The 19,663-nt window shown below is 44.4% G+C and overlaps 1 protein-coding gene across 11 annotated transcripts in view, besides 2 other annotated features; it reads left to right on the forward strand.

Annotated features, from left to right (window-relative positions):
* Nucleotides 7,930-8,299: a silencer, noted in NCBI's record as "silent region_9270". NCBI's record gives its function as "represses an Ori minimal core promoter by ATAC-STARR-seq in GM12878 lymphoblastoid cells {active_cell/tissue: GM12878}" and the evidence as "EXISTENCE:reporter gene assay evidence [ECO:0000049][PMID:35858748]".
* The window catches only part of PTPRM (protein tyrosine phosphatase receptor type M), an 839,541-nt gene continuing 828,126 nt past the window's right edge, over nt 8,249-19,663 (forward strand). For all 11 annotated transcript variants that reach the window (XM_011525708.3, XM_047437715.1, XM_011525712.3 and 8 more), the window contains exon 1: nt 8,249-8,824. In XM_011525708.3, coding sequence (XP_011524010.1) covers nt 8,752-8,824 — 73 coding nt within the window. In that variant the 5' untranslated portion in view covers nt 8,249-8,751. The remainder of the gene's footprint in view (nt 8,825-19,663) is intronic.
* Nucleotides 18,630-19,386: an enhancer, noted in NCBI's record as "H3K27ac-H3K4me1 hESC enhancer chr18:7577695-7578451 (GRCh37/hg19 assembly coordinates)". NCBI's record gives its function as "activates a minimal SCP1, AML or CMV promoter by ChIP-STARR-seq in primed H9 embryonic stem cells {active_cell/tissue: H9 hESC(primed)}" and the evidence as "EXISTENCE:reporter gene assay evidence [ECO:0000049][PMID:30033119]".

Consider the following 19,663-nt stretch of genomic DNA (forward strand, 5'->3'; position numbering starts at 1 on the left):
TACTAAGTTTGAATGTTTTCCTCTACAGCTTGTCTCATCTTGACAGTAATGACTGTCTAGAAATTGTCAATTCCAACCACAACATTTGGAAACTTTAAAATATCAAAGATGAAGAGAGACTAAAGATGATCTTTTCTTTGATGTTAGTATTGAAATGTTTTTATTTTTTTCATATTCTGTTGGAAACCCAGCCTTATTACAGATCACAGGACCTAGGACACCATTGTTGCAATAATTTAATCTGAGGTAAGAAAGACATTGTTAGCATAACGTTTCTTAATAGTATTAGTCAAGCTGAGTTTTAAGAAACATACCTATCAACTTCAAAGGATTTGTTTTAAAGAAAGTAAAATAAAAAGGAACTACAAATCCATGGGAACATGATAAAGTACTATAATTTCCACCCTGAGTTTTGGAAAATCTGACGAACCTCCAAAATGTGTTCTGAGGAAAACAGTTGTCTCAAAGGCACAAGAACTAATATGAAATGTTAGTTCAAAGGCTCTGGGCAAAAAGAGGGACACACAGACAGACGCTCTCTCCTTTAATGAACCCTCATGTGGAAAGTAGCTGCTACTTGGTGAGCTGCCGCCTGTGCCTTTGAACATACTATGATTCAAACAGTGAAGTGTTATTTCACACTCTCTGAGTTAGCCAGCAGATCTCTAAAACTTCCCAGCTCAAAAAAGTTTGCAGAAACCATTTTCTTCTAGTACTTCTTGGAGACTTAAACAAAAGTAGAGAGACTGTACAGTGACCTCCAGAGGGCTCTGATAAAATCTTCATAAATTGGCTTTTTGCTTTTTCTATAGATGATTAACCAGCCTGAAAACCATTGCCAATATGTGTGTGGGCAAGTGGTTACTATGTCTATACAGTGGCTGCAGCCGCTGGTCTTGTAGATGGAACCCTGCTTCCAGACAGGAAAAAGCCTGATCCGGGCTCTCCTGTCCCCAGGGGACAGGGCAGTTGGACTATTCTGGTCAGAAGACTGCTTTTGTGTAGGGAGTTGTTTCCCCTAGTTCAGGATGCAGGAGTGCAAGGAGAGGGTACAGCGTGACCTGTTGCCCCAGGTGGCCTCAGTGTCAGGCAGCCCTGGTGTTCTGCCCGCACTTGGATCAAGGAAGTCACCAGGAGACCTGGGCTGTCCCCAGCAGAGTATACAAAGCAACTCTCAGAGGGGATCTGACTGGTGCCAGGGACCTTCCAGCAGGTCATTTCCTGGGTCTCCTGGTTCCTAGGAACACAGGCTCAGACATGGCTGTAATACTCATATTTTCTGGTACCGTATATTGAGATTGCCTTGTAAGATCTGCCCTGCTACTGATCCCGTGACTAAAAGGAGAATTTTTAGAGATTATCAACCTACCTAGTCATTTTACCTAAAATAGCGAATAGGTAAAAGTTCCAATCAGAAAAAGATTTTTATAAAAATATGACCTATGTGTAAATTGTGAACTTTAAGTCCTATTTGATAAAATTAATTAAAAGAGCTTCATGAGAAACTCTGTTATAGATCTTAGATCATCCTTATTCATCAATCAAAGTCTAGTAATTGAGGGCCCAGTATACTACCTTCCATGTGCATAGGCTTTCCCTGTTTCTAAAGAACTTTCATGCACACTGTCATTGGCTCTTCTACAACACAGTGAAGGTAGACAGCACAGGAGTTATTCCCATTTTGTAGATGGAGAAATACTAAGGGCCTGTCATGATAAACCAGGCAGTTTTACTGGTCTGGTGCTGAGTCTGGCAGCTGATATTAACTCATTATGCCCAGAAAGAAGAGTGTGATGAGAAAGGACAGGAACATCTATTGGAAAGTCTTCCCATCTAAATGGTAACTGGGCCCAGTTAGATATTTCCAACCCATCTGCACACATATAGAACCCCAGCATGGAGTTTGTGCATGGTCGGTTCTCTCTAGTATTTAATTTAAAAATCAATGGTTAACATCATCAACAACAACAACTTTTACATCACTAATGATGTGCCAGGAACTGATGTTTTTTTTTGAGACAAGGTATTGCTCTGTCGCCCAGGCTGAAGTGCAGTGGTGCAATCATGGCTCACTGTAGCTGTGACTCCAGGGCTCAAGTGATCCTTCCACCTCAGCCTTCAAAGTAGCTGGAACCACAGGTGTGTGCCACCATGCCCCGCTAATTATTTATTTATTTTGTATAGAGACAGGGTCTCACTATGTTGCCCAGGCTGGTCACAAACTCCTGGGCTCAAGTGACCCTCTTGCCTTGGCCTCTGAAAGTGCTGCAATTATAGACATGAGCCACTGCACCCAGCCAGGAACTACTGTTTTATTACAATACTTATCACATTATTATTTAATCCTCACAACAACTTTGTGAAGTGTGGACAATGATTATCTTTGTTTTACAGATAAGGAAACTGAAACACAGAGAGGTTAAGTGAATTTCCCAGTATCACACAGTGTGAGAGGCTGATAACATCTTCATAACATAAAAAAGAATATGCAATACACTGCCTCAGTACCAACAATGCAGAGATTAATTTATATTCTGAGGGTAATGTGAGCAAAGCAAAGAACTAAAACCTATTACCTCTCTGCTTTTAATCAGGCCACGAGAAGGAATTCCTGGGGCATCTAAAAAATTCATCCTAGTAGTTTAAGCCTTTATACAAAAGTGGCTTTGAACTATGCTTGGATGAGCTTTGCCTTTTGTCAGTGACAGGTTCTGACCTTAGGTAGGATACGAACAGCCACAAAAAAGGGCACCTGCTCCCTTTTTGTCATTTGTTCAGGTGAAACAGGGCTTCGCTGGTGACAGTTGAAATGACCTGGTTTCTTCTGACCCCTGTGAAAAACTAATGATGTGTTTTTCATTTTCATTCCATTTTCCCTGGTTTCATGTATACACATTCAAAAGGTGAGGGAAGCTGTGAAGTGAAGTCAGTCCTGGGTGAAAAGTTCTATTTGCTCCTCTCATGCCTGAAGCTAAGTAAAGTCGACACAAATCGTGCGTGTGCACAAGGACAGGGATCTGCATATCACGTGGCCGAGGCCCCACTGCTGTGCATGCCTGCACTGTCCTCTGAGGGAAAGAATAATGGGGGCGAGATGGGTGGGGAGTGGGATGAGGCACTACTCACTCCCAGCTTTGCTTAGAGATCAACATAATAAATAATCAAGTTTGCTCAGCGCCTCAGAGTTTACACAGAGCTTTCACATGTAATTCCATTTCTACAAGTCAGGAAGTGGAAATGAACTCATTTAACTCACACAGTTGGAATTCAAATGAAGTTGGACTCTAGATAGTGCTAGCTCTCTCCTTTATCCCTTCCTTCCTTCTTCCCTTCCTTTCATCCTCCTACCTTCTCTTCCTACAACTTGCCATCCTTGAATATGTCATTTTGGAAATCTATACAAGAATGCTTATTTACATTTCCCATTTCTCTCAAACCACACTTTCATAATCCCAACATGCATCTAAAAGTGGGAAGTAATCATTTCAGCAAGGCCTAGATAAGAAAACATGAGCAATGGAAACAATGACAATCTTTTCTTTTCCTTTTCCATCGGTTACAATTGAGTGACCTTGGGAGGTATCCAAATGATCATTTTGTCCATGCTTCTTGGCAAATACTTCAGCTAGCTTAGGAACTTGCCGCACGGGGTTAACCTCCTAATTCGACATAACGTTTTGGATAGGTAGGGATGGGTTATGGTCAGATCAGTTTTCATTGTTATATTTACATTTTGACTTTAATGGGGTTTGGACAAATCTCAAGAGCAGAGTTGCTATTGCCAGGCCCCAGCACTGCACAAGTACAGCCAGCAATTCGGCCCACCGACTGGCAGGATGGGCTCCTGCCCTGGGCATCACACACCTATAAAAATAAATTTGTTAAGGAACATACAGCCACTTCTGTCAGTAGAGGTCTGGTGCTCAGTGTTAAAGACTGCATAAAACTTTACCCTAAACTTTTGCTTTCAAAACCAACACCGTTCGGGCCCCAGAGAAACACTTCTCCCCTATAGTCCCTTGTCCTTGAAACAAAGGTGAGTGCATCCCACAACCTGAAGATTTGCAGGGTGTGCTGCTGCTGACATGGAAGATGGACACTCCTAAACGTGTGGATGATGTATAGTGGAGGCGCTTGATTCAAAGAAAAGTCAAATGAATTAAACTGTCAAAACCTTCCTTTTAGATAGCAAGCATATCATACAGTCTTAAATAATGAGGGTTTCCTAGCAATGCCAAACATTCATTTTCTTGCTTCTCTTTTTGTTACAATTCATGGTTCTGGCAGAAGTCATACAGCAGTATAGCATTTGCATGCGGTTGAACGTGGTGATTGGCCAATATTTTGAAAAATTAACTAATTAATGTTACTGTTAAAATGGTAGATATGAAGTTATAACACATGAAACATAATACTGATTATTTATGTTAGCAACCAGGTGGACAATGAATGCTAGAATTGCTAAGTTTATGTTTTATTTACACATTAATAAGGTGTAATTAAATTTCCAAATATTAAATAAAATGTTTATGCTTTAAAAAAATAACTTTTCAGTGTTTATATTCATTGTCATAATTTGTATTTTGCATTTTAATTCTAATAGATAACTTTAAATCATTTGAAAGAAAACTTTTAACAACTATAGAAAAATAATTCTAATTTTCTGAAATAAAAAAAGGAATTTACATTTGTGGTGTAAGTACAAACATTTTGTATGATTTGACTACATTAATCCTTTATTTATTTATTTTTTAGAATTGGGATTTCATTCTTTACCCAGACGGAGTGTAGAGTGCACAGCTCATTGCAACCTCAAACTCCTAGGCTCAAATGATCCTCCAGCCTCAGCCTCCTGAGTAGGTGGGACTACAGGGATAAACCACCATGTTTGACTATTTAAAAAACTGTTTTGTAGTGACAGGATCTTGCCATGTTGTCCAAGCTGGTCTAGAAATCCTGGCCTCAAGTGATCCTCTGGCCTCTGCCTCTTGAGTCGCTGGGATTACAGGTGTGAGCCACCACATGGGGCCTGAATAGATGAATCTTTTAGATCAATGTTGTTCAATAGTGCTTTCTATGATGATGGACTTGTTTTCTCTCCATGTTGTACAATACATTAGCTCTAGCCACATGAAGCTACTGAGCATTTGAAATGTAGCTAGTGTCACTGAGGAACAGAACACCTGAAATGCTGTTAGGTGCTACCATACAGAACAGCAAAGCTTTCAATCACCGCTGTCAATGGAACACAAATTAAGTGAAAATCTCAATTATAACAACACAGTGATTTTACTAAAGAGAAATATCAATTTTATAGAATAAATATATATGAATCATGTATATTACTTATCCATATAGCCTATCAAAGAAAATCTAGATATGTATAATGTCTAGCAGATATGCATAATTCAGTTGCTGATATTTTGCTTTTTGTCATATAAAATCTGTAGGTTTTATATTTCAATTTTATTGTTATATGTGTCAAGGTAGGAATATACATAGTAGTTTGCTAGCTTAATTAATAACTTTGAAATATTAGGCATATGGTAAGTGGCTATGCATTTGTACTCTTGCCCAAGCCTACCAATGTCAGGGGCTGGCCTGACAGCACCCCTAACTCTGAGCAGCCATTCTGCAAATGTCACTATTGTCCTCAGTGAGTCAGGAGTGAAATGTGGTTAAAACTAAATCTCTACTGCTGAAAAAACAAGTCAAAGCAAATGTCCCACTGGGAGGATTCCTACAGCATCCCTTCCTTAGAGGAAGTCCAATCCATTCATTTCAGCAGAGGACTTCCATTTAGGCTCAAAGGCTGCTCTGACCAGTTACCTGTAAGAGGGAGTAAACTAACAGTAGTTGTCATGAATTGAGAGGGCAGAAGCTGCTGGCAAAAATCCCACCACCCTTTGAAATGTGGATGGAAGGCTGCAAAGGGTAGAGTCAACTTAACAGTGTAAAGATAGAGAACAGGGGTAATAGAAATTTACAGACCCTCCCACTAAGCTTTAAGTAACAGGCAGAAGGGACAGGGTTTGTAGAGGTTACCAAGAGGAGTCCTGTGGCAGCAGCAGTTGGAGTACTGGCAGGGATTTCTGTCTAATGCCTCAGTGGCAGGTCCGTAGAGTGGCCCTTTCCTCTTCCATCCAGCTCCTCATCGTCCCCCCGCAGGGGGATTGAGTTTCCCTTGCCCATAGTGGTAACCTGCTTATTGACACATCTCATATCGATGTCTGCTTTTTTTTTTCTTCTCTGTCTTGCTGTCTCACCTTCCTTATAGTGCTTTCTGGGATCACTTCCCCAATTCAAAACCACTTATAGTTAAATCCTAACCTCCAGGTCTGTTTCTGAGGGAGCCCAGCCTAAGACAACCTCCAGTACTTAGCACAGTGCCTGACATATGGTATTGACTCAGTAGATATTTGCTGAAAGAATAAAATACTTTGCAAATGAAATCCTACCCTAATATTAACTTCACCTAATTTAAAGAAGTTACTCTGAAGCAAAGTGATTAGATCAACTTTTGTCTCCCTAGCTTCCACCTCTGTCCTCCCACTAGCAGAAAAACTCCATTGGAAAGCCTATTACTAATTTTTTTTAAAGCAAATTTGAACTGCAGTATAGAACACAAGTACATCAAAATGGAAAGCCCAGGTTGCAGATTTGACCATCCTCACTTGCTGATCTTGAAGACATTGCTTCCTTTCTGAGATTTCAATGTTCATTTCACAATTAAAGATAAGGTTCCATAAGCACATAGTTGGGAGAAGTGGCAGGACAATGTAAGCTCATATTAACAAGCAAATGATTAATATAGAGACTTCTAAAGAGCAGGTCTGGTAAGTATCTAGTAAGTGGACTTCCTGAAGTAAGAGGAGTGTTGGTTGCCACACTAAAGGCAAGTCTTCTAGTCCCCAAATTTGCCTTGGGAGGATGACAGCTGTATCTTTCTTGGTTCTGGTGTACAGTGGAGAACAGGGTCAAGATGAGTGTGGAATCCATTTATTTTTTTACGTGTTTATAAGCACTAGAAAGCAGTGAGCACTAAGCAGAGGACCCCTCTTGCGGAAAAAGTGCAGGAGAGCTCCTGGGTGCCTCTGTATCACCGGTTTGCCTTCTAGCCAGAATCATTGCTAGAACCCTGTCACTCAGTTACTTTGGTTCCTAATTTAACCTCTTCCCAAGCCTTCTATTGCGTTCAGTTAGCTAGGCCAGGAGCTTACAGCTGTCTGGTTGGTGCTGGCTCAATGTGCTTATTCCCTGGAAGATAGAAGGATCACTTACAAAAAAATTTACAATTAAAATAAAAAAATTATTTTTTGCTGAAGCATTGTAAGGTTTTTTTAATTCACTCAGACCCAAAATCGTAAAACTAAAATATTTCAAGACATTACTTGATTCACCCCCCACTTCTCTTTCTCCCCTGTTTCTCAGCACTTTGCACCAGATACAGAAACCACGGGTTATGTCCAAACCCTGGTTTTGGTGTGACCACCGCCTTCCGTGTACTGCCTGCGGCTCGCTTCGGGCCCACACGGGACACCGAGGCATGATGAGGACGCAGAACAGCAGAAGCGCGCCCTGCTTCCCGGGCGCCAGTGCTCGGGGCCAGCGGCGTGTACCCGGCGGGCCCGGCCGGGAGCGGGCTGGCGATCGCGGGGCTCGGCGCTCCCGGCTCCCGCGCCATCTCCCGGCGCCCGCCAACTTCGCTCCGCCCGCGGCGTAGAGAAGCTCGCAGCCCTCCGGAGCCTCAGCGATCTCCTGGCTCGCTTTTCCCGCAGCCGCCGAGCAGCGCAGGCCCGGCGACTCCGGGTGCAGCTGGCCCTGTGCGGTGACATCGCCGTCCGGCGCCAGGCTCGAAGCCGCCTGGCCGCGCCCGCGGGGTCGCAGGCCGCTGGTCCCGCCCGGCCGCGCTCACAAACTACTCGCGGCTCGTGACCCGGGACAAACTTCTGGCGGCGGCGCAGCCTCTTCCACAGTCACCCTCCCCAGAGCCAGCTACCAAAATAGAAGACGCGGCCGGGGCGAGGAGGTGGGCGGGGGGAGCCCGGTGGCCGCTCCTCCCCGCGCGGCTGACGCCCGCTTCGGCGGCGGTAGTGGCTGTGGCCGCGGGGCCGCCCCCAGCCGAGCTCCCGGAGGCGCTCGGGCGCGGGCCGGCGGGGCACGGGCGCTCACGCCCTCTAGCGGGCCGCGGCGGCGCCGGGCGGCCGTGACGTGAGCGCTCCCTTCAGCCGGCCTGCGGGGCACCGCCAGTCAGTCGGGGAGCAAGAGCCCCGCGCGCAGCCGGCGCGGGCTCGGTCATCGGCGCGCCGCCGCCCGGGGCTGGGCTTGGGGCTGCCTGTGGAGAGGCGGCGGGCGGAACGCGCGCGGCCACGGCCACGGCCACCGCCACGGCCACGGCCGGCAGCTCGGGTCCCGGGTCCCGGGCAGGGGAAGGGGAGAGGCGGCGAGCTCAGCAACCGGAACCGAGGGAAGATTTTGGCTCCGCGGGCTCGCCCTCCGCTCCCTCTGCCAGCGGCGCCAGACGCCGAGTGGGGCCAGGGACAGGGGAGGAGGACCCAGGACCCTGTGCCCGCGCCCCTGGAGCCGCTGGAGTTCGGACTTCTGCAACTGTTGGCACTTTGGGGGCTTGGCTTAGCGCTCTGCTGTTTACCCGTCTCTCCTCGCTGCCTCGGAACCAAAGCTCCCGGCCCCCTCCGCCCTCGCGCGCCCACCCACCGCCGCCGGGGAGCGGCCCGGCCCGCACTCAGCACCATGAGGGGACTTGGGACTTGCCTGGCGACTTTGGCCGGACTTTTGCTAACTGCGGCGGGCGAGACGTTCTCAGGTAAGCGGGACCGCCTCTGCCGCCCCCGAGGCGCGCGGGCCGGCGCGGGACGCCCGGGACGCCGACAGCTCCCTGGTGGTAGAGCCCTAAGGCTGGCGTCGGGGCCGGGCGGGGGGCGCGGCGGGCCGGACACCGCTTCTGCCTGTGAGCCGGGCGCTGGGCGAGGGGCCGTGGGGCTGGCAGGCACCCAGTCCTCGGGCGGGCGGAGCGGACGGACCCCGAGGGCGAGCTCCCCAGCCGGGACTGCCAGCTCGGCCGCCGTCCTTCCGCGGCCTGGGCTAGTGCTCAAGGTTGGGCGGCTTGCACTCTTGAGTCCCTGGCCGGCTGCAAAAGGAACAGCAGAAAACTTTGCTTGAAGTTCCCAGTTGCAGCCGCCGGGCCGCCTGGCGTAGGCGCTGCGCGGTCCCCGCCGACCCCGAGCAGCGGCCGGGCCCAGGCCGCTGGTGTTCGGCTGCGCCCGCAGCGATCGCCGGGAACTGGCGGCCGCTCCGGCGGCGGCGATCTCCCGGTGCCCTGCCCTCCCTGTCGCCCCCTGCCCGGCGCGGCTGGCGACCCCGGGAGGTCCCCGCGGTCGTGCAGCGTCTGCGGAGAGGCTGGGGGGAGTTCCTCGCCGGTCCCAGCGGTAGGGCTTGGCGGCCGCGGAGGGAAGCGGGCAGGTCCCCAGGCCCTGGCCACGGCCCTGCGCCCCGCTGGGCTCCCCCTCCCCACCCTCGTCCCCCTAGCGGAGCGCCGCGGCCAGCTGCAACTTGTTCATCCAGCCCGGCTGCCCGGGGGTCCCAGGTGGGAAGGAGAGGCACTGGCGGTGTGCGAGCAAGCGTGTGAGTGTGTGCGCGTGTGTGCCTGCACGCGCGCGCGGGGGCGTTCTAAGCCCAGAGGAACCCCTCACGGAGAGGATCTGTGGATCGGAGTCGGGGGTCCGGCGTGGGGGCGAACCCGGCACGCTGTCACAGGGGTTTACAACCAGGATGACCTTTATTACCTGGGTGACACAGGTGGATAGACGGCAAATGCTGGCCCATTTGCACACCTTCTTTCTAGTGTTTATTAGATTAGTTTCATTAAGGTCCACATGCAGTGGGGGCGGTGGGCTTTCTTTTTCTTTAATAAAAAAGCCTGCTCTTTGGTCTTAAACTTGGTTTTTGCAAAATAGGTCTCTGCGTTTGGGAACAAGTGAGTTGAATGAGTAAGTTGGGCTTTTTAAGAATTTAATGAAGAGGACTTTCATAAACAGTAAAGAGCATATTTTAAGCAGTAAAAACCTTTGGTCCTCCGGTGCGTGGAAACCTTTTTATTTTCTTGGGGTCCAGGACCATTGGCTGCTGGAGCTCTGGACTCACAGGCACATTAGTTGTGTCTTGTGTGTTGCTGATCTGCAGGACCCTTGATCACAGTTGGCCTCAGAGAAGGAGTGGAACGTGTAGGTTTTGAAACCCAAAGCATCAACTTCAATACAGAAATATCCTTTCTCCAAGTTTTGTGTTTCCCTAACTGCCTGGTAATTGCACGTGCTCCAGAGGATTTAACACAATGATGCACTGTCGTCTGATTATAAAACTGATGCAGAATTTGGTCTGTGTTCTTATTAGTGAATAATAGAGTAGAATTTGAGAGCCTTGTAACTCATTAGTATTAGAAGCCAAGTATGAGAGCCCTAGTGATGGTTTTCTCTTTATTAACATCCATGACTCCCTTCTTGGGATTTGTTTAAAGTTAAGCTGTGTCAAATATCATTTGGATGGATTTTTAAATTGTGTGCAAGGGAGTGGAAACAAATATTTATATTGCTTATTTAAACCATGGGTTCCTCATCACCAAAAAGGATTTCAGCCTCAGTTGTACTGACCCATGTCCTTGTTAAGGCTGATGTAAATGATCAGTCAAGCCAAAATAGACTTCTACTAAAATTTAGCCTGATTTTTCATTTGGAAGAAATATATCTATTTGTTTGAGTTAATCATACCATTAAGTGAAATGTGTTTTCTTTTCTATCTAGAAAGCCAGAGTTATCCTGGCATGCTAGTGGGTAAAGGGCAGCATCCAAGCCATGCCTCAGAAACGTTGAACTTTAAAAAATGTAAAATTGGATTAGCTGGGTGTGGTGGCGTGTGACTGTAGTCCCAGCTGCTCTAGAGGCAGAGGCAGGAGGATAGCTTGAGCCCAGGAGTTTGAGGTTGCAGTGAGCTATGATTGCACCACTGCACCCCAGCCTGGGTGACAGAGTGAGAATCCGTCTCAAAAAAAAAGTGAAAAGTGAAGATGGCAAATTTCATATGTGCAAGGATCAGATATGTTTCACTTCATTATTTATTTTTCTCTCCATATTGCGTTTAGGTAGTACAGGTGTGAATCAGGGTTTTGTTTTTTGTTTTTGTATGTTGAGGAAGTTAATTCTGAATGCTAGGAGTGGCATTGACACATTTCTTTTTTATGTTTCTTCCAGAAATTGTAGTAATTGGCTGCTTTTCACTTGACATGGGAATAAATTTTAGAGCCAGAAGAGCTAGATTGTAAGCTCCCTGAGGGCAAAGCCAATTTTCGTTTTCTTCTGACTTTCTCACAAAACATTTCTCATAGATCCTTAGATGTCACAGGCATTATTACTATTTGTTGAATAAATCACTAATGAGAATCTTGATCATTTGCACATATTCAAATTGTGTGTGAATGGACCAATATATAATAAAATGGAGGGAGAGAAGTGATTGTTAAAAGTTAGACTTGGCTTGCCTTTTCCACACTGGGTTCTCTTTAGGCCAATGGACTAATCATGAGGGTTTATAAATATAATCAGTCAAGGGTTTTTGTATAACTCAGACATTATCTACACAAGGCACTCTGCCCTTTGCTTTCTGCAGTGCTCTCCTGTCCTCTTTTGGAATGGGTTTGGAATTGTTAAGATTGTTAATTAACCATTTCTGGAGGTGGACTACATGTGATTTGGATACCAGACATCAGAAATAGAATGCTAAACTTACTGGAAAAGTATTAGGATTTGGGCCTGTGATGACATTGCTTACTTATAATGATGGATTTCATTACAAAATTGTGGGTTTTTTTTTTTTTTTGGAGATAGAGTCTTGCTCTGTCGCCAGGCTGGAGTACAGTGGCACGATCTTGGCTCACTGCAACCTCCACCTCCCGGGTTCGAGCGATTCTCCTGCCTCAGCCTCCCGAGTAGCTGGAACTACAGGTGTGCACCACCACCACCGCCAGCTAATTTTTGTATTTTTAGTAGAGACGGGTTTTCACCATGTTGGCCAGGATGGTCTCAATCTCTTGACCTTGTGATCTGCCTGCCTTGGCCTCCCAAAGTGCTGGGATTACAGACATGAGCCACCGTGCCCAGGCTGAAAAATTGTTTTTTATCATTACCGTTTCTAATTTGTTAGGCAAAATAATGGAGGTTCACTTTATATCTTCTAGGTCTTTAGTGTTCACTAAAAATAACTGGTAAGATGGTATATAAGTAAGACATGAGAAAGAAAGTTAAATTATTTTACCTTTGTTGGAAATTCCCTTTTGCATGGTGAGAAACCAACGAGTTGGCAAGTTGTTCCTCTTTGACCCAATTTCTTAAAAGCCAAGTTGCAACATATATTATATAATACAATGAAGTGTTTAGTTCTACCTTATAATGGTTTTGATGTGTTAAGTTCTGCTAAGCAAGCTTTGGTTTGCAGAAATAGAAATATAGACTTAGCTCTTTGTTTCAGCTACAGTGGTATTTGAAATATATTAAATGTTAACATAACCTTGTGAATTTGGGACTCGTGGAGAAATTAATTTTTTAAAATATTTTAAGGATGTTTGTGGGAAAACAGCTGAAATCTGAATAAAGCCTGTAATTTAGTTAGTAGTGTGGTACCAATGTTAATTTCTTAGCTTTGGTAATTCTGCTCTGTGAATGTAAGATGTTAACATTAGGGGGAAGCTGGGTGAAGGGTGTACTTGCACAGTTTGTATTGTTTTTGCAAGTCTTCTATAAATCTGAAATTTTTTCAAAATACAGAATTTTAAAGCACCCTTTGCAAAGAGTGGTAATATGTTTGTTTAGCAGTTAAGTTTATTTTTTCTTTTTCAGATAACTATAGTCATAGCATTTTACATTTTCAAGGTGCTTTCGCTAGATTGAAAATTGATAATGAAGAAAATACTTCAAATTTAAATCAGTGAGCATGAAAGAAATATGCTAAGAAATTACTATAACATTCTTAGTGTTCTGTATATGTAAAGAAGAATTGCTTGAGCATAATAAATTGTTCCGATCTAGAAAATTATAGGTTTTAGTCTCTCATGTTTTCAAAGGGTTATTTTTACAGATTTTAAGAAAAGAATCTATTGACATGTAGTGATATATGGATAAGTGTGTATATAATTTTGGTAATTCAAAATGAATTTTCTTTAATGAACAAGTAATTTGAATTATGTCTTCAGATTATATAAATTCTTTATAAATGAAGCATAGCCTAGCCTTTAGATTTGGTAAAAGTTGGTTTCAGAATTTAAGCAATTCTGTGACAATTCTAGAAAAGTCAATACCTTTATTTAAATTTTTCATAATTCTCTAAGGATTGTAATATATTCTAGGAATTGTGAGGCTGTATACAGTAGAGGAACTATGTATTAGATTAAATATTGTTTTCTTTCAATTTTTGTTTTAGATTTCATTAAGTTTCTAGAATGAGCATGTATTATCTAAATATCCCAAGGCTTAGTTTTCATTTAGGGAATCAGGCATTTTAATGAGTTTTATGCTTTTCAACAGTGAAACATTTTTCTTAGGGGTTATGTCCACCATGCATTTTACTTTAGTTCTGAGATTCTTCTCTTTGAAAACCAACTTTCCTATAGTTTCACTTTTTAGTGTGCTTACTATCTTTATGAATATAACATGCATGTTAATAGGCTTATTTTATAAGCGAGGGAAGGTTTAATTATTAATGTCTTTCCAACTCACAAACATTCTAAAAAGGTACAAAATAATGTAAATCTTGCATTATAAGAGGATGTTGCTTTTTTGCTTCCTAAAATACCGCGGTGGTTTTCAGTTTAGTCATCAGAAAGCCTGAGTTGACACTGTAGCTCTGAAAAACCCAGCAGAGAAAAATAAGTTGGGCTGCCTTGGGTGGAGAGGAGGAAAGATTTAGTCACCAAGCTTCCTAGTCTGTAGTGCCCCCATCATTGGTGAGGAGGCTGGCAAGGCCAGGGCATAATTAAGGGTCTGGGAGTATGTGAGAGAAAAAGACAAAAACAGGATGAGAAGAGAAGTGTTGTGTACTCAGGTGTGGGATGTGACAAGCTCTAGAGATCTTAGCAAGGGAGGGTCACTCCCCTTGTGCCCTCTTAGCTATGAAGGAGAAACACATGGAAAGTTGAAGGAGGGCCATGAAGAGTGGCAGTTGTGCAGGTAGATCACAGTGACATCCTGCCTCAGTGACGTTAGGTGGCTCTGGGGAGGGCCTGGGAAACTGCACCAGTGTTGATGGTGAGCTAGGTTTTAATCTGTGCTTCTCAAAACCTGCTGTCCACGGGGAGCATCTGGAGGCCTCCTTTCAAAGGCTGCTTCCTGGGGCCCAGCTGTGGTGATTCTGATGTCCACGACAGAGGTCCCCCAGCATCCCTGGGTGGTCAGGGTTTGTAGCCACAGTTGAAGAAACGTTGTCCTGAAAGAGGAGGTTTTTGTTTTGTTTTGTTTTGTTTTGTTTTGTTTTTTTTGAGACAAAGTCTCGCTCTTGTCCCCCAGGCTAGAGTGCAACTGAGTGATATTGGCTCACTACAACCTCTGCCTCCCGGGTTCAAGCGATTCTCCTGCCTCAGCCTCCCGAGTGGCTGGAATTACAGGTGCCTGCCACCACGCCTGGCTAATTTTTGTATTTTTAGTAGAGACGGGGTTTCACCATGTTGGCCATGGCTGGTCTTGAACTCCTGACCTCAGGTGATCCTCCTGCTTCCACCTCCCAAAGTGCTGGGATTACAGGCATGAGCCACCACGCCTGGCCCTGAAAGAGGAGTTTTTAAAGTGTTGTCCTTGAGCCAGCAGCATCAGCATTACATTGAAAGTTGTTAGACTTGCAACCCTCTGACCCTGAATCCGCAACCCTGGGGATGAGGCCCGGCAATCTGTGTTAGAACAAGCCCCCCATGGGATTCTGATGTGACCTGAGATTGGAGAACCCTTGTTCTAAAAGAACTGAGATCTTCTGCCTGCCCTATCAGCCTCCCTTGACAAGAGCTGAAAGAGAACTGGGGGTAAAAATATCACATCCATTCATTCACTGCTTAGCCTCTTGATTAATACGGCCGGTATTACCAACATGGTGATGTGATCGTGTTGTCTCTGGCCAGACACTGGGGAAGAGACTAAATCCAGCCAGTTGTAAAACTCAAATGAATAAAAAAGTTTCCTATGTTTTTACTTACCACGATGTAACAATTAAATTTTGTTGTAATGGTTAGCCATTGGAAATTTCCCTGGGTTGATATTTTGTATAGGAGATATTTGTTGGCTTGTTATAATAAGCATGCAGCCCAGTGTGCTTATTAGAATATTTAATAGTGCTTATTAATAATTCTTATTGAAATATTTAATTCAAATAAATATTTATTGAGCACTTACATTTGTACGGCCCCTTTGTGGATGGTAATGGGCAAGGATAAAGCAGGTATAGTTACCACACTTTGAGAAGTTATTCATTTATTAAAATTTCAAAATCTACTAAAATGGAAAGAAACAGGGACTTTCTCAGGAGAGAACTGGAAGTTAGTAGATGTAAGATTTGGAATTGTAATGTGGAATTGTGAAACTTTGCCTTTGGCAATAAACTCAAATTCCAAATAGAAAGAAAATAAAGGTTTTTCGGCCAGGCGCGGTGGCTCACGCCTGTAATCCCAATACTTTGGGAGGCCGAGGCAGGTGGATCACGAGGTCAGGAGACGGAGACCATCCTGGCTAACGTGGTGAAACCCCGTTTCTACTAAAAATACAAAAAAATTAGCCGGGCGTGTTGGTGGGCGCCTGTAGTCCCAGCTACTCCGGAAGCTGAGGCAGGAGAATGGCGTGAACCCGGGAGGCGGAGCTTGCAGTGAGCCGAGATCGCGCCACTGCACTCCAGTCTGGGCGACAGAGCGAGACTCCGTCTCAAAAAACAGAAAAAAATAATGAAGATTTTTCTTGGACATTTATTTAAAGTACTGACAATGTGTATCCTAAAATTGAGCCTAATTTTTCTCTGAACCCTCAAAGACAACCATTGCATCTCTGTCATTTAACACTCCAGGTAAATAAAAATAATCATGATGTCTTTTAACAGATTGATCCTGAGCGCTTTGTAGCCGGCCTTTCTGAGAAACAGCTGAAGAGTGCTTCCCTGCTGCCGGTTGCTCCTGCTGCCATCCGCAGCTGATCACTAGGTGTAGCTGCGTCCCTTAACCCCCCTGCCTGAGCCAAGCAAGGTCCAGCCCCATCCATAGATGGCTTCCTGGACAGCTAAAGAAAGGCACGAGAGCGGACTTTCATCCGCTTACGTGTGCATCTCTAAGTCTTTATTGTAAAATTGAGTTCTTTAGTGGGAGTTGTAGTTCCACTGCTACTTGTAGTGTAGTTTGTTGAAATTCAGCACTGATCCAGAGACAACTTTAGATTCACCTGCTACAGTCTTACTCAATTTTTTCTTTTTTCTGCTGTGTCATATGTTGCTGCTAATCTACATGTAGTGGTAAAACTGGAAGAAGTAGTATATATTTGCCAACTAAGTAAAGGGTTCATGTTAACCTTTGGGGCCTTCTTGTAGTAGACCAGAAAAAGCAGTGGTGTGGATGGCTCTGTGTAGGTGTGTAACATCTTTAGGACATGGCTTGTCTGTACTTTTCTTACGTCTGCAAGGAGTGACTTCTACAGCACTGAGGGTTTAGGTATGTAATTCAAGAAGTCATGAAAATCTGCCTGGAAATCTGATTCAGCCATTTTTCCTGCTTAAAACTCAGAAGACTAATGAGTCATCAAAAACTTTATATGAAATGCAAGTGTTGGGCTTTGGGTTAGAAGTCAGGGCAGGGTGGAGAATCTGATTGAAGATGGCTGTGTGGCTTCCTTTCGAAACTGGGGCTAGCAGGGGTTGGAAATGACCTTGCAAGCTAAAAGAGCAAGGATTGCAGGACATACAGGAGAGATGAATGAGAGGAGAGGAGTCAGAGACTTGTCAAAACTGATAAGGTTTTAGCATCTCCCTCTGAAGAAAAGGCCACTGTTTAACAGAATGATTTATTTCAACATGCACCAGCCAAAGCAGAAGCAAAGCATTTACTTTTTATGGGCTGCAAAGCATAAAAGCTTATAGAGCATCAGTTTTTCAGATGGGTGAATATTCATTTTAATCTCTCTTTCTATTCAATATGCAGAAAGCAGATTTATTGCATACAATGAGAAGAGTGCATATTAGTGTGGGTTACTCTGGGAGTCTGAGGCCCCATTACTTTTCCCTGGCTTCTAGCTATGGAATCAAAATGGGCTCACAGGTAACAGGTAGGCTTTGACAGAGGGTGAGAAGGAATTGGACCACACCCTTTGTATAGTCTGTGTTTTTTTGATTTTTTTTTCTCAAGGCGTCTTGCTCTGTCATCCAGGCTGGAGTGCAGTGGCAGGATCACTGATCATGGCTCAATGTAGCTTCGACTTCCTGGGCTCAAGCAGTCCTCCCACCTCAGCCTCCTGAGCAGCTGGGTCCATAGGCACAAGCCACCATGCACGGCTAATTAAAGAAAAAAATTGATAGAGATGGGGTTTTGGTACATTGCCCAGGCTAGTCTTAAACTTCTGGGCTCAAGTAGTCTTCAGCCTCCCAAAGTGCTGGGTTTACAGATGTCAGCCACTCTGCCTGGCCCAGCCTGTTTTTGATGGATACTATTTGTTCTCTCTTCTCTGTTTGAGTAGCTTGAGGTACTTTACATCATGTAATAAGCACATGCTTAAAATGAACTTAAAATGGACTCAGTGTGATGTTCCATCTAGATATACAATTATAAGGTGGTTTAAAGCATTCCTTTTAACATACTCATAATGTGTAAAACCAGATTACTTAACAATTTTAGCATGTAGTAGTCACTCAATAAATATTTGTTGAATGAATGAAGAAACAATTTAAAGAAGCTCCCTTGGAGAAGAAAAAAATCAAATAACTTATGCTTAAGGCTGTTTTTTTTTTCCTACTTCCTATCAAGTTTGACTTAGGTATCTCCAATAACCTTAACAATAGAACCAGGCTGTGTGTTTAGTGCCTGGTGCCATTAGCAATTTATAGGTGTATAGAGACACAGTTGCTAAATTTAAAGGAAAAAGTATTACCTTTTGTTAATTAAATATATAAAAGTAAGACTGTAGTTTTATTGTGTATAATAAAAATGTATAAATCAGTTATTGCTATAAAGTAGCATTTTGATATAATACTGATCACTAAAAAATGAAATTTACTATGCAGTAGATTTATCATGACTGTACTCTAGGGGGATTTGATTTAGTCACTGGTATATTAAAGGAACCATGGTATCACCAGAAAGAAGATTCCATGACAGGGAATAATATATATTATCTCTGCTGCCTTTTATTTCTGATATAGAATGAAATGAATTATACCTACACAGAGCTCAGACAGCATCATGATAACATCAGGCTCATCTTCATTACAGCAGGCATGTTCTCGTTCCTTTTTCATTCAGTGTATCATACTCTCAAGTGATAAAACTTAATAAAAAGAGGCTACTTTGACAACAACCTCATAAACTGTGTTTTCTACTTCCTCAACTTCTGAAGTCTTGAACACCAAATGTGGTGTAAAATTTCCACCATGAGTTCAGGTCATTGGCTCTCATTGGCATTGTGTTCTGTGTGTGTGTGTGTGAGGGAGGTTCTCCCTCGTCTCTCTGTCTGTCATCATTTTCATCCCAAATGTGTGACTTTTTAAAGAGCCTCTGCTTTTCTTTCTAATCTTGCTCAGTAGGCAGGGGCCCCTGTGAGACAGCTGGTTGAGAATGCTTGGTATGTTTGGAGTGCAGCATGCTTTGTCAGAGAGGGACAGGACACAGTGGGGGTCTGAGGCTGTGACATCAGCCATGGGGATCCCTGAGCTGTTGAAAGAAGGGCAGTAGTAGCCTCTGGTTGGATCAGGTCTTCCTGGCATTGAGTTCTCCTTCTACCTCTAAGTAGCCATGAGACCTTGGGTGTGTTATTTCATTTTAAAATACCCTGCAGGATGATGATGATGATTATGATGATGATGATGATAATGATGATTTTTAGACAGGGTCTCACTCTTGTCACCCAGGCTGTAGTGCAAGTGGCATGATCATAGCTCACTGCAGCCTTGAACTCCTGGGCTCGAGCGATCCTCCCACCTCAGCCTCCTGAGTAGTTGGGAGCATAGGTGCATCACCATGCCTGGCTAATTAATTTTTTTTTTTTTTTTTTTTTGAGACGGAGTCTTGCTCTGTCGCCCAGGCTGGAGTACAATGGCGTGATCTTGGCTCACTGCAAGCTCCACCTCCCAGGTTCATGCCATTCTCCTGCCTCAGCCTCCCGAGTAGCTGGGGCTATAGGCGCCCGCCACCATGCCCGGCTAATTTTTTGTATTTTTAGTAGAGATGGGGTTTCACTGTGTTAGCCAGGATGGTCTCGATCTCCTGACCTCGTGATCCGCCCACCTTGGCCTCCCAAAGTGCTGGGATTACAGGCGTGAGCCACAGCGCCTGGCCAATTTTTTTTTTTTTTTTAAGAGACAGAGGTCTTGCTTTGTTGCCTTGGCTGGTCTCAAAACACCTGGGTTCAAGTGATCCTCCCACCTCAGCCTC

Source organism: Homo sapiens, chromosome 18, assembly GCF_000001405.40.
Source record: "Homo sapiens chromosome 18, GRCh38.p14 Primary Assembly".
Classification (NCBI taxonomy): Eukaryota; Metazoa; Chordata; class Mammalia; order Primates; family Hominidae; genus Homo; species Homo sapiens.